The following is a 21,617-nucleotide window of genomic DNA, read 5'->3' on the forward strand; positions in this document are numbered from 1 at the left end:
AGGCAGATGTGGTGAGCCGAGATCACGCCATCGCACTCCAGCCTGGGCAACAAGAGCTAAACTCTGTCTCAAAAGAAAAAAAAAAGATGCTCCTGACAGCAGGGCTCATCTTAGCCCAACAGAGGAAGCAACCGAAGTATCAATCAACAGTTGAATGAATGAATAAGGTGTTGGGTATTCATATTATAATGGAATACCGTGCAGCAATGAGAATGAACTATAACTATGCCCAACATCATGAATGAGTCTCATAAAAAAAGAATGTTAAGTAACAGAAACCAGAAACCAGACACAAGATTATATACCGCCCACTGAAATGTATACTTAAAATGGTTAAAATGGTAAATTAAAATTTTTTTTAAAATAGAGATGGGGTCTCACTATGTTGCCCAGGCTGGTCTTGAACTCCTGGGCTTAAGCGATCCTCCCACCTCAGCCTCCCAAGTGCTAGGGTTACAGGTGTGAGCCACCATGCCTGGCCCTATAGTGTTAAATGTTATGTTATGTATATTATTTCACCACAACCAAAAAAGTGTAGGTGGGGGACCATAGAACTGTACAACACAAAGTGCATCTTAATTTAAACTATGGTCGTCGGTTAATAATAATGTATCAGAGGCTGGGCGTGGTGGCTCACACCTGTAATCTCAACACTTTGGGAGGCCGAGGTGGGCAGATCACCTGAGGTCAGGAGTTTGAGACCAACCTGGCCAACACAGTGAAACCCCGTCTATACTAAAAATACAAAAATTAGCCGAGCATGGTGGTGTGTGCCTGTAATCCTAGCTACTCAGGAGGCTGAGGCACCAGAATCGCTTGAATCTGGGAGGAAGAGGTTGCAGTGAGCTGAGATTGTACCACCGCACTTCAGCCTGGGCAACAGAACAAAACTTTGTCTCTCTTTATTTTATTTTATTATTTTTTTTGAGACGAGTCTTGCTCTATGGCGCAGGCTGGAGTGCAGTGGCGCGATCTTGGCTCACTGCAACCTCCACCTCTGGGGTTCAAAGGATTCTCCTGCCTCAGCCTCCTGAGTAGCTGGGACTACAGGCATGCGCCACCATGGTCGGCTAATTTTTTTGTATTTTTAGTAGAGATGGGGTTTTATCATGTTGGCCAGGCTGGTCCAGAACTCCTGACCTCAAGTGATCCGCCCACATCAGCCTCCCAAAGTGCTGAGATTACAGATGTGAGCCTCCACACCAGGCCTGAGACTCTGTCTCAAAACAACAACAACAACAACCAGAATGTATCAATATTCATCCACGAATTGTAACAAATATATTACACCACTGCAAGATGTTAATAATAGGGGAAACTGCAGAGTGGGGGTGGTAAATGGCCACTTTTACCTCCCTCATCATACTTTCCACTCAATTTTTCTGTGAACCAAAGACTGCTCTAAAAAAATCTATTAGCTTTTTAAAATTCCTTGGCTCCCCTCCAAAAAGTGTACATATGACATGATCTCATTTATGTAAAATACAACAAGCAAAACAAATCCATGCAATAGATGTTGGGGTCATGGGTACCCTTGAGAAAGGAACACAACGGGACTTCTTGGATGCTTATGATGTCTCTTGATTAGAGCTGGTTATATGTGTGTTTGTTAAGTTTGCAAAAATTCATCAAGCTACACATGATCGAGCTATACATGACATATGCACTTTTCCATTTATTTATTTATTTTTGAGACAGAATCTTGCTCTGTCACCCAGGCTGGAGTGCAGTGGTGCGATCTTGGCTCACCGCAACCTCCGCCTCTCGGATTCAAGCAATTGTCATGCCCCAGCTTCCCGAGTAGCTGGAATTACAGGTGTGCACCATCACGCCCAGCTAATTTTTTTTTGTATTTTTAGTAGAGATGAGGTTTCACTATGTTGGCCAGGCTGGTCTTGAACTCCTGGCCTCACTCAAGTGATCCTCCCACCTCGGCCTCCCAAAGTGCTAGAATTACAGGTGTGAGTCACCGGTCCCAGCTGACATATGCACTTTTCTATATTGTATCCTGTAATTTAATTTTTTTAAGTTTTAAGAAAACATTAAAAATAAAAAGATAAATAGTCTGTCATACAGGAGAATTTCAAATAGTTTATGGAGATAATCCCCCCTCAAGGAGAAGGAGCGTAATCCCCCACTCCTTCGGTGTGGGCTGTGCATAGTGACTTCCTTCCAAAAGGTACAGTATGGAAAGGTGGGAAAGGAGTAACTTTACAGTGAAGAGACCTGACACGCACTACCTTAGCCAGGTGATCAAGGTCAACATCCACATCTGTAAGTCACATTGATAGGATGTAACCCTGATATGATGTGACGAGAATGGCACCTAACCTCCAAGGTCTTCCCACCAACAAACCATAACCCCAGGCTTACCATGAGAAGAAAAACATCAGGCACATTCCAATAGTGGGCATCCTACAAAATGTCCAACCAGTACTCCTGAAAATTGTCAAGGTCATCAAAAACAAGGATATCCTGAGAAACTGTCACAGCCAAGAGGAATCCAAAGAGACGTGATGACTAAATGTCATGTGATATCCAATGGGTCCTGGAACAGGAAAAGGACATTAGGTAAAACGCAAGGAAATCTAAGTAAACCATGAACTTTAGTTAATTAGAGAGACAGACAGACAGAGAGAAAGAAAGAGTCCATTTTCTATAAAACCGAGCCTAACCTCAAACCTTGACCTTTTTCATTGAGTCATCTGAACCCAATGGAGATATAGACAGGAAACAACTTTCCTCTTCTCCCATTCATGGCCTTCAAACATGCTCTGTTTCTCTATTGGATTCCCCATCCATCTGCCTTGGCATCTTCACAGGTTGATCCCACAGTTTTCTCATTTTCAGGAATAAAAGCCCACTCCAGTCTAAATCAAAACTTCCCTCTCACATCCATGCCGGGCACAGTGGCTCACACCTGTAATCCCAGCAGTTTGGGAGGCCAAGGCAGAAGGATTGCTTGGGCCCAGAAGTTCAAGACCAACCTGGGCAACATGGCAAGACCTCCTCTCTACAAAAAAATGTTTAAAAATAAAAAAATTAGCCAGGCATGGTGCACACACCTGTGATTGTGGTCCCAGCTACTCAGGAGGCTGAGGCAAGAGGATTGTTTGAGCTCAGGAGGTCGAGGCTGCAGTGAGCCATGATTGTGGCACATGAACCCCAACCTGGGTGACAGAGCAAGACTCTGTATCTAAAAAAAAAAAAAAAAGATAGCAAACTTCCTTTTCACATCCAATTTAAGGCTTGTCCTCCTCCTCCTCTTAGATCTGACTGAGATCTGGGTCCATATTAAAGACTCCTTTAGTACAACAAACACCATATATCCTCACGTAAGTCCATGAATATCTGACATTTCTCATATCTACTTTCTCTCGATTTATTGATAGATAGGTATACATTGTTTTAATTTTATGGGTACATAGTAGGTGTATATATGTATGGGGTACATGAAATGTTTTGATACAGGCATGCAATATGAAATAAGCATTCATGGAGAATGGAGTATCCATCCCCTCAAGCAAGGATAAACCTTTGAGTTACAAACAATCCAATTACACTCTTTAAAGGTGTACATTTTTTTTTTTTTTGAGACGGAGTCTCACTCTGTCGCCCAGGCTGGAGTGGAGTGGCACGATCTTGGCTCACTGCAGCCTCCACCTCCCAAGTTCAAGCCATTCTCCTGCCTCAGCCTCCCGAGTAGCTGGGATCACAGGCACATGCCACCATGCCTGGCTAATTTTTGTATTTTTAGTAGAGACGGAGTTTCACCAGGTTGGCCAGGCTGGTCTTGAACACCTGATCTCAGGTGATCCGCCCATCTCGGCCTCTCAAAGTGCTGGGATTACAGGTGCGAGCCATCGCGCCTGGCCTAGAGGTGTACATTTTTTAACAGAACCATTCAAAAGGAGGTTGTGGGGATCATGACACTTCCATGCTACAGCATTAATCTCCTAAGAATAAGGATACACTCCCACATACCATGACACTCTGTTCACACCTAAAAAAATTTACATTTATTCCAGAATATCATCTAATCTCCAGTCCGTGCTTACATGTCCCCAATTGTCCCCAAAACATCTTTTATAGATTTTTTTAAAATTTTGTTTAAATGCCATATCCAATCGATATGGCAATCAAATGCAAATCCATATTGCATTTGGTTATGTCTCTTAGTCTTTTTGCATAAGGGGGGCCTCTCTTTAGGATGCAAAATCTTTATCATCTCTTCTTTTCCACTTGGGGACTTGGGCTGAAAATCAGGAGTGGCTGGAACACGCCCATTTACTGTTTGGTTTTGCAGGTTGTTGGAGGGTACTACAGAAGAACATCCCTCTGGAGAGGGGCCGTGAGCCTGGTTGGCCTAGACTGAGTGCCCTGGCAGAGCTCTTCCTCATGTGTGCAGTGGGAAAGAAGCCCAGATCAGTCCAAAGGCCTAACCCCCACTCCCAGACCCTACCCTACTCTTCAGAGAAATAGGCTCCCTACCCTGAACCCTAAAGACAGCTGTACCTTCATCCCCAGGGACCCAGCACCCCTTCTGGCCTATCCCCAAAGAGTCACCCTGGGTCTTAGGTAGTAGGTGGAGCTGAGGGATAATGGCCCAAGGCCAAGAGTTGATCCTTCCAACTTTGTTCAGTGATCCAGCTTTCATATCAGGTGATCAGGACAACCAGGCCAATCTGATAGGGGGCGGTGTTTATAAAAAGGCCACTCACCTAGAGCCAGAAGCTCCACACCAGCCATTACAACCCTGCCAATCTCAAGCACCTGCCTCTACAGGTACCTTTCTTGGGACCAATTTACAATCTCTGGGATCCCCAACTATAGAACCTGGAAGCTAGTGGGGACAGAAAGACGGGGAGCCTGGGCTAGGTGTAGGGGTCCTGAGTTCCGGGCTTTGCTACCCAGCTCTTGACTTCTGTTTCCCGATTTTAAATGAGCAGTTTGGACTAAGCCATTTTTAAGGAGAGCGATGGGGAGGGCTTCCCCCTTAGCACAAGGGCAGCCCTGGCCCTGGCTGAAGCCCAACCCCAACCTCCAAGACTGTGAGAGGATGGGGACTCATCCCTGGAGGAGGTGCCCCTCCTGGTATTGATAAAGAATGCCCTGGGGAGGGGGCATCACAGGCTATTTGAACCAGCCCTGGGACCTTGGCCACCTCAGTGTCACTGGGTAGGGGGAACTCCTGGTCCCTTGGGTATATGGAAGGTATCAGCAGAAAGCCAGCACTGGCAGGGACTCTTTGGTACAATACCCAGCATGCATGCTGTGCCAGGGGCTGACAAGGGTGCTGTCCTTGGCTTCCCCATTTTGGAGTGGTCACTTGCCTCTACTCCAGCCCCAGAAGTGGAAACTGAGATGATGTGTGGAGGAGAGAGCCAGCGTTCATGTTGGGAATCTTGAGGCTCCTTTCCAGCTCTCAGATTCTGTGATGCTCAAAGGGTGAGCTCTGTGGGCCCAGGACGCATGGTAGATGGAGCTTAGTCTTTCTGGTATCCAGCTGGGAGCCAAGCACAGAACACGCATCAGTGTTTATCAAATGACTGAGGAAATGAATGAATGAATGTCTCCATCTCAACCCTCAGCCTGGTCCCTCCTTTTTTCCCTGCAGTTGGTACAGATGGCATTGTCCCAGTCTGTTCCCTTCTCGGCCACAGAGCTTCTCCTGGCCTCTGCCATCTTCTGCCTGGTATTCTGGGTGCTCAAGGGTTTGAGGCCTCGGGTCCCCAAAGGCCTGAAAAGTCCACCAGAGCCATGGGGCTGGCCCTTGCTCGGGCATGTGCTGACCCTGGGGAAGAACCCGCACCTGGCACTGTCAAGGATGAGCCAGCGCTACGGGGACGTCCTGCAGATCCGCATTGGCTCCACGCCCGTGCTGGTGCTGAGCCGCCTGGACACCATCCGGCAGGCCCTGGTGCGGCAGGGCGACGATTTCAAGGGCCGGCCTGACCTCTACACCTCCACCCTCATCACTGATGGCCAGAGCTTGACCTTCAGCACAGACTCTGGACCGGTGTGGGCTGCCCGCCGGCGCCTGGCCCAGAATGCCCTCAACACCTTCTCCATCGCCTCTGACCCAGCTTCCTCATCCTCCTGCTACCTGGAGGAGCATGTGAGCAAGGAGGCTAAGGCCCTGATCAGCAGGTTGCAGGAGCTGATGGCAGGGCCTGGGCACTTCGACCCTTACAATCAGGTGGTGGTGTCAGTGGCCAACGTCATTGGTGCCATGTGCTTCGGACAGCACTTCCCTGAGAGTAGCGATGAGATGCTCAGCCTCGTGAAGAACACTCATGAGTTCGTGGAGACTGCCTCCTCCGGGAACCCCCTGGACTTCTTCCCCATCCTTCGCTACCTGCCTAACCCTGCCCTGCAGAGGTTCAAGGCCTTCAACCAGAGGTTCCTGTGGTTCCTGCAGAAAACAGTCCAGGAGCACTATCAGGACTTTGACAAGGTGAGCCCGGGGTGCAGGTGGCAAGGGGCACCTTGCAGGGCCTGGGTGCAGCCCCTCCCTCCCAGCTCCAGCATGCCCACACAGCTGCTGTGTTGCCAAGGCCTAGGAAGGCTCTGGACACCTCAGACCAGCTGTGTGACCTGGAGCCGACTCTTCCCCTTCTCTGGGCCTCAGTTTCCTCATCCTTGAAGCCCCCTTCTCAGGGCTCCTCAAAGCCCCCAAGAAAAAAGCCCTGGAAATGGGGCCCTAGCAGAGTCCTGCAATGTGGGGGGCCTATGAGTGAGAAAGCTTTCATTCTGCAGAAACCTAAACCCCAACAGAGGCTAATCCCCAGCTCTGGTGTCACGTTGCTTCCCTGTGTTCACACTAACCTTTTCCTTCTTTGAAATTGGACCCCTGGTGTTATTGGGAGGAAGGGTCAATGGGGCATAAAATGACACTTTAAGCCATACCCAGGGCTGCTACCAGCTCCTGCTGCAAGCTGCAACCCCCTGCCTAGAGACCAAGTTGGGAGGATAGGGGGGTACCCAGCCACCAGGTACAGGCCAGGGGAGTGGAGCAACGTTCAGCCTTTGACCTTGGAAGTGCCAGAGGTGCCCCTAAGCTTGTGCCCCCTCAGAACAGTGTCCGGGACATCACGGGTGCCCTGTTCAAGCACAGCAAGAAGGGGCCTAGAGCCAGCGGCAACCTCATCCCACAGGAGAAGATTGTCAACCTTGTCAATGACATCTTTGGAGCAGGTAGGAACCAGAACCTTGCCCCTCCATCCAACAATGCCTGCTGTTCACCCACAGCCTTGCCCAGCCCCTCAGTCCATGAAATAACCCACCAACCCTACACCAGATGGTACAACATACTGAGATCTGGCTTGGGATCAGGGTTTGAGCCTGGGCTATGCCACCAATTCCCAGTGGAGAAACAGCAAAGTCCTTCTCCTCCCCTAGGCTTCAGTTTCCCCATCTGAACAATAAGGTGTTCTCTGGCCTGTAAGTCTAGGCCCCTATAATTCCAGCAGCTAATTCTGAAACCTGTATCTCAAGTTTATGTTGAAGAGACCCAGCCTCTGTCTTCAGGAAACTCACAGGCTAGGGCCAGAGAAAGCTAATGCTGGATACATACATAGCAGATACTTGGGAAATGATGGTTTCCTTGTTTCTGTCTTCCTTCTTTCCTCACCTTACACTACACGGTTCAGGATTTGACACAGTCACCACAGCCATCTCCTGGAGCCTCATGTACCTTGTGACCAAGCCTGAGATACAGAGGAAGATCCAGAAGGAGCTGGGTACATGGGGGCCCCCAACCCTATAGCCAGGAGAAGCCTTGAGACCCAGGTTGTTTGTTCAGTCTACAAACACCTGTTATGTGCCTGCTGTGTGCAAGCCCTGGGCACACAGTAGTGCCTGCCCTTGCCTAGAAGATGTGGGAGGTTAGTGGGGTCGCAGACTTGTGAATAGACAGTCTTACATAAGAGTGACATGGGGTATAAGAGGGGATAATTCATGGGGCAGTTAGGGCAGCCCCTGAGCTCTGCTTGTCCTCTGTGTTCTACAGACACTGTGATTGGCAGGGAGCGGCGGCCCCGGCTCTCTGACAGACCCCAGCTGCCCTACTTGGAGGCCTTCATCCTGGAGACCTTCCGACACTCCTCCTTCTTGCCCTTCACCATCCCCCACAGGTGAGGCCTGCCGGTTCTGCCCTCCCACCTCTAAAGTGCTTGCCATGTTTTCTCTTCCTGGCTTCTCAGCCCTGGCCCTGGCTCAGCATCTCCTTCCCGACCTCGTTCCCCACAGATCCCGGCCTCAGTCTGCCCCCATCCAGTCCAAACATAATCTAACCCCCAGCTCTCAGGAGAAAGTTCCACTTGTGATCTCAGCGCTCATTCCCCTCTGTTCATATTCCCTCCCTCCCAGTGCCCTCTGTGCCAGTCAGGTCGGCCTCACCCTCACAAGCATGACCCTATTGGCCTCCAATCTTGCTAACGCTGAACCTTCTGCCTGGAATACCTTCTAGCCTCTTCTCTGACCACCAGAATCCTACCCTTGCTCAAAGTCAATGCCGACACGAGCTTCCTCTCCCCAGAAGCCTTTTGACTCATCCAGCTGGCACAGCTTCATTCCTGATGTCTTATAGGACTTACAGCCATCAGCCCTTGATCATGCCCTGGAATTTTAACAATGTCAAGAGAGTTAGTGAGCATTTACTTCTACCCAAACGTTGTTCTAGTTATTCCTGCAGTAAGAGGCCTGAATCCCCAGCCAGGCTAGAAATTCCCCGGGGCTGCCCCAGGCTGCCTGCTGCTTTTTTTTTTTTTTTTTTTTTTTTCATAGAAAATAGAAAAACATTTATCTGAAATTGCCTGCTTCTTGGCTCCAGAGAACAGCCAAGTGCGCAGCCAGGCGCAAAGAGAAGTTTAGTAAATACTTGCTGAAGTTAAAGAACAGGACGCAAGGAAGAGGGAGGATGTTTCTACCTCTTCCCTGTTCCTCCCCTCCCCTCCCAGTGTAGGGATGGAGATGGCGGTGGGCAGGCTGTCTGGATGGGGTGGAGGTAGGAGCAACACATGCCCCAGCTTTCCAGCCCTGAGCCTCACAGTGCCCTCTTCCCTCCTCAGCACAACAAGGGACACAACGCTGAATGGCTTCTACATCCCCAAGAAATGCTGTGTCTTCGTAAACCAGTGGCAGGTCAACCATGACCCGTGAGTACATACCCCTCACGAAAAAATGTGTGCAGGTTCAGCAGTCAGGAAGGCTGTTTGTCCCTGCTAGGAACTGTTTATATAATGAAAGGAGGGGACCTCAATTGCTATAGTCTGCTCTAAGTGACGATATTTACAAAAGTTTCACAAACTTTAGTGCACAGGAATCAACTAGGATGGCCAGGCGCAGTGGCTCAAGCCTATAATCCCAGCAGTTTGGGAGGCCGAGGCAGGCAGATCACTTGAGGTCAGGAGTTTGAGACCAGCCTGGGCAACATGGTGAAACCCTATCTCTACTAAAAATACAAAACAAAAATTAGCCGGACATGGTGGTGCGCCTATAATCCCAGCTACTCCAGAGGCTGAGGCAGGAGAATTGCTTGAACTCTGGAGGTAGAGGCTGCAGTGAGCCGAGATCGCTCCACTGCACTCCAGCCTGGGTGACGGAGTGAGACTCTGCCTCAAAAAAAAAAAAAAAAAATCAACCAAGACGTTTGTTACAGGTGATGGTTCCCCCAGGATTCTACTGTGGTATCTAAGGTGGGGTACCTCAGGCGATTCTGATGTGAATGGCTCAGAGACCTCTCTTTGGAAAGCCCCACTTTAGTGTATAGGTAGGGGGACCATATATATAATTTACCATCCACACTGGGACATTTGAGTGTGAAAATGCTATCAATGTTTATGCTAGTCATCATTACTCCAAAACAATAAACATAAGCCAGGACATACTGTTGAGGCCCCTTAGGAGGCATATTTTGAGTAGGATGAAGAAACGTATGTCTTTCTTTCTTCCTTTCACTTTAATTTTTAAATAGAGACAAGGTCTTCCTATGTGGTCCAGGCTGGTTTTGAACTCCTGGGTTCAAGGGATCTTCCTGCCTCAGCCTCCCAAAGTGCTAGGGTTACGGGTGTAAGCCACCAAACCCAGCCTGTTTTTCTTCTTTTAATTTCTTTTAGATAAAGCATTATTTAAAGTAAATTAATATTAAAAGGCACTATCTTTAAGGCTGGTCATTTTAGAGAGAGCTTTGTAAAAGAAATAAGCATCAGGCCAGGTGTGGTGACTCATGCCTGTAACCCCAGCACTTTGGGAGTCCGAGGAAGGTGGATCGCTTGAGCTCATGAGTCTGAGACCAGTGAAACCCCGTCTCTGCAAAAAAAAAAAAAAAAAAAAATACAAAAATTAGCCGGATATGGTGCCTGTAGTCCCAGCTACACGGGAGGCTCAGGTGGGTGGTTGGCTTGAGCTGGGGAGGCAGAGAGAGTGCAGTGAGCTGAGATCGCACCACTGTACTCCAGCCTGGGTGATAGGAGCCGGAGGGTGTCTCAAAAAAAAAAAAAGAAAGAAAAGAAAAAGAAATAAGCATCAAAGTTCAGTTTGGTTCCTTCCCACCTACCCTTCATTGCTTTCAAAGTGCCCTCACACTTGTGTTCTCAACAGAAGTCTCCCTCCCCCAGGCACCTCCTCCCAGGGCCTCTCCAGCCCTGAGGTCCCATCTCCTCTGTTCCTCTTGCAGAGAGCTGTGGGAGGACCCCTCTGAGTTCCGGCCTGAGCGGTTCCTCACCGCCGATGGCACTGCCATTAACAAGCCCTTGAGTGAGAAGATGATGCTGTTTGGCATGGGCAAGCGCCGGTGTATCGGGGAAGTCCTGGCCAAGTGGGAGATCTTCCTCTTCCTGGCCATCCTGCTACAGCAACTGGAGTTCAGCGTGCCGCCGGGCGTGAAAGTCGACCTGACCCCCATCTACGGGCTGACCATGAAGCACGCCCGCTGTGAACATGTCCAGGCGCGGCTGCGCTTCTCCATCAATTGAAGAAGACACCACCATTCTGAGGCCAGGGAGCGAGTGGGGGCCAGCCACGGGGACTCAGCCCTTGTTTCTCTTCCTTTCTTTTTTTAAAAAATAGCAGCTTTAGCCAAGTGCAGGGCCTGTAATCCCAGCATTTTAGGAGGCCAAGGTTGGAGGATCATTTGAGCCCAGGAATTGGAAAGCAGCCTGGCCAACATAGTGGGACCCTGTCTCTACAAAAAAAAAATTTGCCAAGAGCCTGAGTGACAGAGCAAGACCCCATCTCAAAAAAAAAAACAAACAAACAAAAAAAAAACCATATATATACATATATATATAGCAGCTTTATGGAGATATAATTCTTATGCCATATAATTCACCTTCTTTTTTTTTTTTTGTCTGAGACAGAATCTCAGTCTGTCACCCAGGTTGGAGTGCAGTGGCGTGATCTCAGCTCACTGCAACCTCCACCTCGCAGGTTCAAGCAATCCTCCCACTTCAGCCTCCCAAGCACCTGGGATTACAAGCATGAGTCACTACGCCTGGCTGATTTTTGTAGTTTTAGTGGAGATGGGGTTTCACCATGTTGGCCAGGCTTGTCTCGAACTCCTGACCCCAAGTTATCCACCTGCCTTGGCTTCCCAAAGTCCTGGGATTACAGGTGTGAGCCACCACATCCAGCCTAACTTACATTCTTAAAGTGTCGAATGACTTCTAGTGTAGAATTGTGCAACCATCACCAGAATTAATTTTATTATTCTTATTATTTTTGAGACAGAGTCTTACTCTGTTGCCAGGCTGGAGTGCAGTGGCGCGATCTCAGCTCACTACAACCTCCGCCTCCCATGTTCAAGCGATTCTCCTGCCTCAGCCTCCCGAGTAGCTGGGACTATAGGCATGCGCCACCATGGCCAGCTAATTTTTGTATTTTTAGTAGAGACGAGGTTTCACTGTGTTGGCCAGGATGGTCTCCATCTCTTGACCTCGTGATCCACCCGCCTCAGCCTCCCAAAGTGCTGGGATTAACAGGTATGAACCACCGCGCCCAGCCTTTTTGTTTTTTTTTTTTTTGAGACAGAGTCTTCCTCTGTCTCCTAAGCTGGAGTGCAGTGGCATCATCTCAGCTCACTGCAACCTCTGCCTCCCAGGTTCAAGTGCTTCTCCAGCCTCAGCCTCCCAAGTAGCTGAGACTACAGGCACACACCACCACGCCTGGCTAATTTTTGTATTTTTAGTAGAGACGGGTTTCACCATGTTGGCTAGACTAGTCTCAAACTCCTGACCTCAAGTGATCTGCCCGCCTCGACCTCTCTCAAAGTGCTGGCATTACAGGTGTGAGCCACGGTGCCCGGCCCACAATTAATTTTAGAACATTTTCATCACCCCTAAAAGAAACCCTGCACCCATTAGCAGTCCCTCCACATTTCCCCCTAGCCTGCCTCCCCTGCCTCACCAGCCCTGGCAACTGCTAATCTACTTTCTGTGTCTATGGATTTGCCTTCTCTAAACATTTCATATAAATGGAATTACACAATGAGTGGTCTTTTGTGACTGGCTTCTTTCACTTAGCACAATGTTTTCAAGGCTTATGTGTGTTGTGGTGTGCGTCAGTAAGCTCTTGGTGCTTGAGTCCTGAGACTGGGTCTAGGTCTGTGCTCTCTTAAGTCGTTGATAGGCACCTCCTTCACTCCTCTCCTCTCCTTTCATGTTGTTTGACCCAAGTTTTTTAACAATTGAAGGGAACAAGGAGAAAGGGATCCAGTCTCAGGGGCCAAACCCAGTTGGGTGGATGGGGATCCCTCCTGTCCCATTCTCAAAAGGCAGAACACGTGACTTCTCACAAGGCCTTGATTTCTTCATTCACAGCCCGGGAGGGGATAAGCTTCCCAGAAGTGCTTAGGTTATTTGAAAAAGGCCCAGGTCTCATCAAAGGACACTATCAAGAAATTGAAAGGAGGCCAAGCACAGAGGCTCACGCCTGTAATCCCAGCACTTTGGAACGCCAAGGCAGGCGGATCACTTGAGGTCAGGAGTTTGAGACCAGCCTGGACAACATAGTGAAACCTCATCTCTACTAAATATACAAAAACTAGCTGAATGTAGTGGCTAGCCTCAGCTGCTCAGGAGACTGTAATCTCAGCTGATCAGGAGGCTGTAATCCCAGCTACTCAGGAGGCTGAGGCATGAGAATCACTTGAACTCAGGAGGCAGGGGTTGCAGTGAGCTGAGACCCTGCTGTTGCACTCCAGCCTGGGCTACAGAGTGAGACTCTGTCTCAAAAAAAAAAAAAAAATTGAAAAGACAACCCACAGAATGAGAGAAAATATTTGCAAAACATATAGCTGTTGAAGCATTTATATATAGAATATATAAAGAACTCCTGGCCGGGCACGATGCCTCACCCCTGTAATTCCAGCACTTCGGGAGGCCAAGGCAGGTGGATCATCTGAGGTCAGGAGTTTGAGACCAGCCTGGCCAACATGGTGAAATCCTGTCTCTACTAAAAATACAAAAATTAGCCAGGCATGGTGGCGGGCGACTGTAATCCCAGCTACTCAGGAGGCTGAGGCTGGAAAATCGCTTGAACCCAGGGACAGAGTTTGCAGTCTCACTCTGTCGCCCAGGCTGGAGTGCAGTGGCACCATCTTGGCTTACTGCAGCCTCAACCTCCCAGGCTCAATCGATCCTCCCACCTTGGGACAACATATGCAGGCCACCATGCCTGGCTGATTTTTCTAATTTTTGTAGAGATGGGGTTTTACCATGTTGCCCAAACTGGTCTCGAACTCCTGATCTCAAGTGATCCACCTGCTTCAGCCTCCCAAAGTGCTGGAATTACAGGCATGAGCCACTGCGCCAAGCCAAAAAAATTTTTAAGAGTAAAACCTGGCCAGGCACAGTGGCTCACGCCTGTAATCCTGGCCCTTTGGGAGGCCAAGGCGGGTGGATCACTTGAGGTCAGGAGTTCGAGACCAGCCTGGCCAACATGGTGAAACCTCGTCTCTACTAAAAATACAAAAATTATTCGGGAGTGGTGGCACACACCTGTAATCCCAGCTACTTGGGAGGCTGAGGCAGGAGAATCAAATGAACCCAGGAGATGGAGGTTGCAGTGAGCTGAGATTGCGCCACTCCACTCCAGCCTGGGCAACAGAGGGAGACTCTGTCTCAAAAAAAAAAAAAGGTCGGGGGCGGTGGCTCACACCTGTAATCCCAGCACTTTGAGAGACCGAGGTGGGTGGATCACAAGGTCAGGAGTTCAAGACCAGCTTGGCCAATATGGTGAAACCCCATCTCTACTAAAAATACAAAAAATTAGCCAGGCGTGGTGGCAGGCACCTGTAATCCCAGCTACTCGGGAAGCTGAGGCAGAGAATTGCTTGAACCTGGGAGGCGGAGGTTGCAGTGAGCCGAGATCACGCCACTGCACTCTAGCCTGGCAACAGAGTGAGACTCCAGCTTAGAAAAAAAAACCCATCTCTACTAAAACCACAAAAATTAGCCAGGCATGGTGGCAGGTGCCTGTATTCCCAGCTATTCTGGAGGCTGAGGCAGGAGAATCGCTTGAACACCGGAGGCAGAGTTTGCAGTGAGCCGAGATCACGCCATTGCACTCCAGCCTGGGCGACAAGAGCGAAACTTTGTCCCAAAACAAAAAGCAAAACAAAACAAAAAAAACCTCCCGGCAAGCCGCAAGCAGGCATTGCCATACTTTGCCAATCTAAGAATCAGCAGGGCCCAGCTCCCTGAGGTAATTTCAGGACCGATCTGAGGTGGCTCGATGGTCACCATACAGCCACTGCCCCATCTGGCTCACTGTGGTCTGGAGATGGCTTGAGCTTCTCATGCACACCTGGCCAATCTTTAACTGGTTGGCCTAGAGCTCCCCTCTGGCCAGAGCCAAGGTAGGAGGAATTGGAGACTTCGCCCCGCTGCTTGCCATTCCTGCCTCCCACAGCAGGTACGAGGCAGGTGGGACCAGCCTGTTCTATCTTTTCCTGGTAGGCCCTGGACACGCATCATCTCAGGCTATTCTCACAACAACCACAGGAGATGGGTACTGTTATACCAACTTTAGAGATGAGAAGCCTGAGGCTCAGGAAGCATGAGGAGGGCATGTGTGGTGGAGAGATTCAGGACTGCACCATTTGCCCTATACCACCTCCAGGGTCTCTTCCCTACCTGTGTCTCTCCCTGAGTCAGGATTGTGGGACTGGAACAGGAAGCTTGGAAACACTACATGATCAAGGAACGGCATGGAGAGTTAGAAAGAGCTCTTGGCCAGAGGGCTAGGAGTCCTGCACTCAGGTTCCAAGTGTGGGTGACCTTGGGCCAGTCCCACCCCTCACAGGCCTCGACCCCATCTTCAGCCTTCTGTGAGGTCTTCTCCAGCACCATTAGCCTGAAGTTCAGGCCACTAGCAATGACCCCTGCTCTGCCAGCCTCTTGCTTAATAAGGCTGTGGGCAAATCCAGTGAGTGCCTGGCAAATTTCGAAGTGCAGTGTACCCGGTGAGGGGTGATTTTTGGCAAAGATGGTGGAATGAAAGATGGTAGAATGGTGGGAAAAACCTTGAGCTGGGAATCCCACCTCTGCCTGGTAGGGAAAATTAAGAGACTTCTCTAGACCTCCCCACCTGTTCAGTTCAGATCCCCAACTCCCTTTATGTCAAGCATCTACCACCAACCAGATACCAGATCTTTCGTTTATATCTTAGTACAGGTCTTTCTTGTTTGTTTGTTTTTTGTTGTTTTAAAGAGATGAGGGTCTCCCTCTGTCCCTCAGGCTGGAGTACACTGGCGAATCATAGCTCACTGCGGCCTCAAACTCCTGGGGTTCAAGCAATATCCTCCTGCCTCAGTCTCTCAGTCTCCTGCCACCGTGCCGAGCTAGTTCAGCTTCTTTTTTTTTTTTTTGAGATGGAGTCTTGCTCTGTGGCCCAGGCTGGAGTGCAGTGGCGCAATCTTGGCTCACTGCAAGCTCCACCTCCTGGGTTCATGCCATTCTCCTGCCTCAGCCTCCTCAGTAGCTGGGATTACAGGCGCCCACCACCATGCCCGCCTAATTTTTTTGTATTTTTTAGTAGAGACGGGGTTTCACCGGGGACGGTCTCGATCTCCTGACCTCGTGATCCGCCCGCCTCCCAAAGTGCTGGGATTACAGGCGTGAGCCACCGCGCCCAGCCTAGTTTCAGCTTCTTGAGAGAGGGGTTTGATTGGCTCAGCTCATCTTTTTCAGCCAGGCTACACAGGTCAGAGACCACAGTCAGTCAGTGGTTGGGTCCCCTTGGAGCAATGTTTACCCTGGTAAATAGCCACAGGCAACAGAGTGAGGGTCACAGGGTCTAAGCTACCTCAGCAAGGGATCCCTGCACACAAGTCCTGGAAGAAACAATGGCACAGCGGAAAGCTAGCGGAACACACAAAAGCCTCCATTTGTCACTTTTCTGCTCTGCCCACCTCTCCTCACACCCACACTACAAAGAAAATTATCTTTGCTCTCATCTTTTCCCGTGACTCCCAGGTTGAGACCTCCTAACAACAAATTAGAAATAGCTTTAACACACACCCCATTGCAAACCAGCTTACACTGCTCTAACTAAGGTTGGAACACTGGGTCAGGTGGTCTTGCCTGGCTCTTTTTTCCCTAAGGGTGACCTCCCTCCCAGGATTCCACTCAGTCCCTATGCAAATGAACTCAGTCACTGGGGTCTCCCTCACCCAGATCTGCCCAGATAAATCTCAGCCTCTCTCTCTCTTTTTTTTTTTTAGGTGGAGTCTTGCTCTGTCGCCCAGGCTGGAGTGCAGTGGTGCGATCTCGGCTCACTGAAACCTCCGCCTCCTGGATTCAAGAAATTCTCCTGCCTCAGCCTCCCAAGTAGCTGGGACGACAGGCATGTGCCACCATGCCCAGCCAATTTTTTTTTTTTTGAGATGGAGTCGCGCTCTGTCGCCCAGGCTGGAGTGCAGTGGTGCGATCTCAGCTCACTGCAAGCTCTGCCTCCTGGGTTCACACCATTCTCCTGCGTCAGCCTCCTGAGTAGCTGGGACTACAGGCGCCCGCCACCACACCTGGCTAATTTTTTGTATTTTTAGTAGAGACGGGATTTCACCGTGTTAGCCAGGATGGTCTCGATCTCCTGACCTCGTGATCCGCCTGCCTCGGCCTCCCAAAGTGCTGGGATTACAGGCGTGAGCCACCGTGCCCGGCCAATTTTTGTATTTTTATTAGAGTATGGGATTTTACCATGTTGTCCAGGCTGGTCTCGAACTCCTGATCTCAGGTGATCCACCCACCTCGGTCTCCCCAAGTGCTGCAATTATAGGCATGAGCCACCATGCCCAGCCAAATCTCAGTCTTAAAGTAACTTGCCCCCCAAGGAAGGATTTTCCAGTTGACAAAGGAATCTGAGGAGGGTGCAGACTCTCTGAAAGAATGGTAGTGAGTATACCATCTGGGTGGGGGAACCAAGCAGAGGCTGACTAGACCAGGGTTTATGCAGTTCAGCGTCAGTCCATGAGCTTGCCCTATATCTTATCCCTATCACTGGCTCCTGTCCCTGAGAGGGGACTGCCACCAGAGGTAGCCATACCCTGAGCCAAGCTCCCCATTCTTTAGTGATCCCCCTCAAAATTAGTTCTGAGACCCTGCATTCTGTCCACCCCTCTGCCATGACATAACACCAGGTTCACTAGAGTCCTCTGGAGTACAGCTGCGATGGAGCCTCTCAGGCAGTGCAATGGGGCGGAGGGGGGCACTTTTGGGCAAGGAGCCTGCCCGATGCCCATCACCCTGCACTAATAAGGGAAGCAGACTCTGCTCTGCATTGAGGGACCTGCACTCTCCCTGTGGGCCCTGCAGCCCAGCGGGTTTTTCTGGGTTTAAGATAACATAGTGGCATAGGTGATACTCAATAGGTTCCCCCAGGCCTTCACCTCTGTATTTACCCCTCCACCCCAGGCCAGTATTAAGATAATTACAGGGCTTGGGAAAGGGAAAAGAGATGAGACCAGAGGCTGGCTCACAGATCCAGAAGAAAATCCCAGCTCACCCACTAACCTTGGGCCTGTGACATAAACTTTCTGAGTCTAGACTTTCTCATCTCGCAACTGGGGATGATAATCTTATCTTACAGGTTGGGTGGGAGGTTTAATGAGATAATGTGTGTAAAGTGCCAAATTACAGGTCAGGGTACAACACACACACACACACACACACACACACACACACACACACACACACCAGAAATCCTGAGAAAGGTGGACTCAGGGCAAGATGGACCCCCGACACACGTGTGGCATGTGCAGCTGTGCACACACCAGGCCCACACGTGAGCCAGCATTTCCCCAAACCCTGCGCTCTCTCACTGGGGTCTTGCCAGGGCCTGGGCTCAGCCCACTTCCTTCCACTGCTCCCCCCACCCAGAAGCTGGGGAGGGCTGGGGGTGGTAGCGTGCCAGGGAACAATGGGCCCCCAACCCCTTCCCGCCCATTGCGTGAGAAGGAGCTGCCGGAAGGAAACTCACCTCCCAGTGGGACAGGCCGCCGCCCCCCTGACGTCTGCCCCAGGGAAGTCTGGAGACCCCCATGCTGCTCAAGGGGCGGGCCTCTGTGCACTCCAGGCCTGCCACCCTTGGGACATCCTGTTTTCACCACCTGGACTGGCTTCCCCCGCCCCCTCTTTCAGAGAAGATGGTCCCAGACCCTCTCTCTGGGGCTGGGCTGGGTTCCCCACAAGAGTCTAGGGCCCTGTTCTCATTCATCTCTGTGTCCCCCGTGTGTAGCCTGTTCCGGAGTCGTCTCGAGGAATGCTGGCCAACTGCATGAGAGGCTGAGGGAAAGGAGCCAGACTAGGGGTGATCAGGGACCCAGCAGCTGAGCCAGAAAACATGAGAGAGAGAAGGGCCCAGCTCAGAGTGGCCAAAACGCCTGTGCTGCAGATAGGGGTGTGGTCCCAGAAATGCCTCTGGAGAGCACAGGGCATGCTGTTGAGGGCTGGGGGATGCTCTCCCCCCAAATTTTTGGAACACTCAGCTCAGTTTCATTTGTGTAGTGACACTTCCCTTACAGGCCCGCATTCCTCTCTCTCTCTCATACACAATCACACTCATTCCAGGGGTCTCAGCAGCTCCACCATCAGATGGGGGCTCTTAAAGGCAGGGGTCAGGGAGGAGGCCAGGAGCAGATGAGGAGCTGTTCTTGCACCGTGCCTATCCACACTTAGCAGGATAGCTCAGAGGGTCCCCACCAGGCTGGCTGCTGACCAGAAACTCTGGACATCAATTTCCCCAGCTAGAAAATATGAAGAGTTGGGGGGCCTGGCTGAAACTGACCCTGCCCTGGGCCTTGCTGACCTGGGGTGGCCCAGCTGAAAGTGCCAGTGGGCCGGCAGGGGCTGGGAGCAGGCGTGGGCACGCATTTTGAACCCTAGTCTCGGGTGTGTCGATAAGGCAACAACAGACGTGAGTGCCAGCTCTCAGCGGGTGCATGCGCATGGGCAGATGTGGCCTGGAGTGGTCAGGTGGATGCCTGTGCGTGAGTTCTCCAGGTGTCAGTTCAGGTGGCTCAGCACGCCAGCCAGGTATGTGCGTGTTTGTAGCCAGGCATGTGTTTACAGGTGTGCCTCTATCTCCTGTGCCCTCAGGGCCAAGGGAGCCGCTGGCTCGCGTGTCTGAGAGTCCTTCTTGCCGTGAGAATCATGGAATCTCAAAGTCCCCAGATTAGTGCTTCCTCCAAGGTGGGGGCTGGAGTGGGGTGGCTGGCTGGGTAATCAGGCAGGTTTGGGAAGCATGCTTCTGCTCCTGCTGGCGGGCCATGGTTACATCTGAGGGCTGGGAGACCTGGACTGGTAACTCTACCTCCTTGGACAGCAGTAGTGGGGGGCGGGAAGCTGAGGCCCTGCCCAGAGTTTTGGGGGTCCACAGTGATAAAACAAGTAGCTGAGCACAGTTGGGCAAATTTCAGCAACCATCGCACACCAGACAGGCTGCGCTCTGGGTCAGTGCCTCCACCACAAACTCGGCTCACTGCAAGCTCTGCCTCCCAGGTTCACGCCATTCTCCTGCCTCAGCCTCCCGAGTAGCTGGGACTACAGGCGCCCGCCACCACGCCCGGCTAATATTTTTGTATTTTTAGTAGAGATGGGGTTTCACCGCGTTAGCCAGGATGGTCTCGATCTCCTGACCTCGTGTTCTGCCCGCCTTGGCCTCCCAAAGTGCTGGGATTACAGGCGTGAGCCACCGCACCTGGCAATTTTTTGTATTTTTTAGTAGAGACGGGGTTTCACCGTGTTTGCCAGGATGGTCTTGATCTCCTGACCTGGTGATCCGCCCGCCTTGGCCTCCCAAAGTGCTGGGATTACAGGTGTGAGCCACCACACCTGGCAAGGAATTGATTTTTTTAAAGTAGTATGAGAGTGGAGAAAGCCTTTCTAAGTTTGACACAGGTCCAGAAGCGGCAAAAGAAAAGACTGATTCCACTGCATAAAAATCAATCATTTCTGCATTCCAAAGAATCATAACCAAGTTGGAAGACACACAAGGAACATAAGCCGGTTGGCTTCCAGTTCTCCCCTTCAGTCCCCCTCCATCCCGTGCTCTGTGAGGGGAAGCTGACCTGTGGGGCTTCTATCCACAGACTCCCTGGCCCTCTGGCTCCTAGACGGGTTCATAGAATGGAGGCTCTCACAGGAGATGGGGATGTGTCCTCTGAGGCAATCCTCTCCATGCAGCTCTTTCCCCCAGTAGCATTCTTCAGGCACTACCCTCTCAGGGCCCCCACCGTTCCCTGCCTAACCCCGTGTAATAATCTCTGTATTAATCCTTCCTCGAATTAAACTGTTTCCTGCTGGGGACCCTGAATGATGCACAGATTAAAGGTTAATTTCTTTAATATATAGAGTTCCTATTAAAAAAAAAAAATCCAGGCCGGGCGCAGTGGCTCATGCCTGTAATCCCAGCACTTTGGGAGGCCAAGGCGGGCGGATCACGAGGTCAGGAGTTCGAGACCAGCCTGGCCAATATGGTGAAACCCCCGTCTCTACTAAACATACAAAAGTTAGCCGGGCGTGGTGGCACGTGCCTGTAATCCCAACTACTCAGGGGGTTGAGGCAGGAGAATTGCTTGAACCAGGGAGGCGGAGGTTGCAGTGAGCTGAGATCGCGCCACTGCACTCCAGGCTGGGTGACAGAGCAAGACTCCATGTCAAAAAACAAAAAGCAAAAAAAAAAAAAAAAACAACAATCCAGTAAAAAATAGATGAAAAACATGAACTGTTAACAGACACAAATATATTTTAAAATATAAAGAGATGCTTGGCTGCACCTACAATCGGCAAACTACAATTTTTTTTGAGACGAAGTCTCATTCTGTCGCCCAGGCTGGAGAGCAGTGGCACAATCTCGGCCCACTGTAGCCTCCACCTGCCAGGTTCAAGCGATCCTCCCACCTCAGCCTCCCAAGTAGCTGGGATTACAAGTATGCATCACCATGCCTGGCTAATATTTGTATTTTTAGTAGAGACAGGGTTTCATCATGTTGGCCAGGCTGGTCTCCAACTCCTGACCTCAAGTGATCCACCCATCTTGGCCTCCCAAAGTGCTGGGATTACAGGTGTGAGCCACCATGCCTGGCATCAGTGAACTATAACTTAAAACTACAAATATAA

The 21,617-nt window shown here is 50.5% G+C and overlaps 1 protein-coding gene across 1 annotated transcript, besides 19 other annotated features; it reads left to right on the plus strand.

The window, feature by feature from the left end:
- Positions 319–3,402: a transcriptional cis regulatory region, noted in NCBI's record as "-4412 to -1329; Bst1107I fragment". NCBI's record gives its function as "negative regulation of CYP1A1 and CYP1A2 promoter activity" and the evidence as "EXISTENCE:deletion mutation evidence [ECO:0005510][PMID:16505155]".
- Positions 319–5,626: a biological region, named in NCBI's record as "CYP1A2 5' regulatory region". NCBI's record gives its function as "regulatory_interactions: CYP1A1 | CYP1A2".
- Positions 1,528–4,823: a promoter, noted in NCBI's record as "-3202 to +86 promoter; KpnI/BamHI fragment". NCBI's record gives the evidence for it as "EXISTENCE:reporter gene assay evidence [ECO:0000049][PMID:2747632]".
- Positions 1,970–1,991: a protein binding site, noted in NCBI's record as "EB4". NCBI's record gives the evidence for it as "EXISTENCE:protein binding evidence [ECO:0000024][PMID:12663044]".
- Positions 2,209–2,757: a promoter, noted in NCBI's record as "-2520 to -1970 promoter". NCBI's record gives the evidence for it as "EXISTENCE:reporter gene assay evidence [ECO:0000049][PMID:8120057]".
- Positions 2,224–2,242: a protein binding site, noted in NCBI's record as "X1 site". NCBI's record gives the evidence for it as "EXISTENCE:protein binding evidence [ECO:0000024][PMID:8120057]".
- Positions 2,239–2,261: a protein binding site, noted in NCBI's record as "EB3". NCBI's record gives the evidence for it as "EXISTENCE:protein binding evidence [ECO:0000024][PMID:12663044]".
- Positions 2,377–2,635: an enhancer, noted in NCBI's record as "259 bp enhancer fragment". NCBI's record gives the evidence for it as "EXISTENCE:reporter gene assay evidence [ECO:0000049][PMID:7723729]".
- Positions 2,509–2,536: a protein binding site, noted in NCBI's record as "5' AP1 site". NCBI's record gives the evidence for it as "EXISTENCE:protein binding evidence [ECO:0000024][PMID:9466818]".
- Positions 2,521–2,543: a protein binding site, noted in NCBI's record as "EB2". NCBI's record gives its function as "positive regulation of promoter activity" and the evidence as "EXISTENCE:protein binding evidence [ECO:0000024][PMID:12663044]".
- Positions 2,689–2,716: a protein binding site, noted in NCBI's record as "3' AP1". NCBI's record gives the evidence for it as "EXISTENCE:protein binding evidence [ECO:0000024][PMID:9466818]".
- Positions 4,489–5,626: a promoter, noted in NCBI's record as "1137 promoter fragment". NCBI's record gives the evidence for it as "EXISTENCE:reporter gene assay evidence [ECO:0000049][PMID:12920202]".
- Positions 4,600–4,623: a protein binding site, noted in NCBI's record as "NF1-like site". NCBI's record gives the evidence for it as "EXISTENCE:protein binding evidence [ECO:0000024][PMID:15849719]".
- Positions 4,652–4,673: a protein binding site, noted in NCBI's record as "EB11". NCBI's record gives its function as "positive regulation of promoter activity" and the evidence as "EXISTENCE:protein binding evidence [ECO:0000024][PMID:15849719]".
- Positions 4,694–4,699: a GC rich promoter region. NCBI's record gives its function as "important for promoter activity" and the evidence as "COORDINATES:motif similarity evidence [ECO:0000028][PMID:19571439]".
- Positions 4,733–12,495, plus strand: CYP1A2 (cytochrome P450 family 1 subfamily A member 2). The gene is made up of 7 exons (NM_000761.5): positions 4,733–4,785; positions 5,618–6,457; positions 7,077–7,197; positions 7,653–7,742; positions 8,012–8,135; positions 9,072–9,158; positions 10,679–12,495. Exons 2-7 carry the CDS (start codon positions 5,627–5,629, stop codon positions 10,974–10,976), a joined length of 1,551 nt encoding a protein of 516 aa, NP_000752.2. The 5' UTR covers positions 4,733–4,785; positions 5,618–5,626; the 3' UTR covers positions 10,977–12,495.
- Positions 19,515–19,629: an enhancer, noted in NCBI's record as "fragment used in the pGL3-38k-wt (38N) reporter construct". NCBI's record gives its function as "activates an SV40 promoter in TCDD-treated RWPE-1 epithelial prostate cells and HepG2 liver carcinoma cells {active_cell/tissue: RWPE-1(+TCDD and DMSO) | HepG2(+TCDD and DMSO)}" and the evidence as "EXISTENCE:reporter gene assay evidence [ECO:0000049][PMID:17785579]".
- Positions 19,521–19,527: a protein binding site, noted in NCBI's record as "DRE 1 high affinity site". NCBI's record gives its function as "TCDD-inducible binding to AhR in TCDD-treated RWPE-1 epithelial prostate cells {active_cell/tissue: RWPE-1(+TCDD)}" and the evidence as "EXISTENCE:protein binding evidence [ECO:0000024][PMID:17785579]".
- Positions 19,522–19,620: a transcriptional cis regulatory region, noted in NCBI's record as "range of bases mutated in the pGL3-38k-mut (38X) reporter construct, specifically an ACG->TAT mutation in the DRE 1 site, and a CGT->ATA mutation in the DRE 2 site". NCBI's record gives its function as "necessary for dioxin-responsive activity of the -38 kb CYP1A2 enhancer in TCDD-treated RWPE-1 epithelial prostate cells and HepG2 liver carcinoma cells {active_cell/tissue: RWPE-1(+TCDD and DMSO) | HepG2(+TCDD and DMSO)}" and the evidence as "EXISTENCE:reporter gene assay evidence [ECO:0000049][PMID:17785579]".
- Positions 19,615–19,621: a protein binding site, noted in NCBI's record as "DRE 2 high affinity site". NCBI's record gives its function as "TCDD-inducible binding to AhR in TCDD-treated RWPE-1 epithelial prostate cells {active_cell/tissue: RWPE-1(+TCDD)}" and the evidence as "EXISTENCE:protein binding evidence [ECO:0000024][PMID:17785579]".

The sequence above is a fragment of the Homo sapiens genome, chromosome 15, assembly GCF_000001405.40.
Source record: "Homo sapiens chromosome 15, GRCh38.p14 Primary Assembly".
In the NCBI taxonomy this organism is placed as follows: Eukaryota; Metazoa; Chordata; class Mammalia; order Primates; family Hominidae; genus Homo; species Homo sapiens.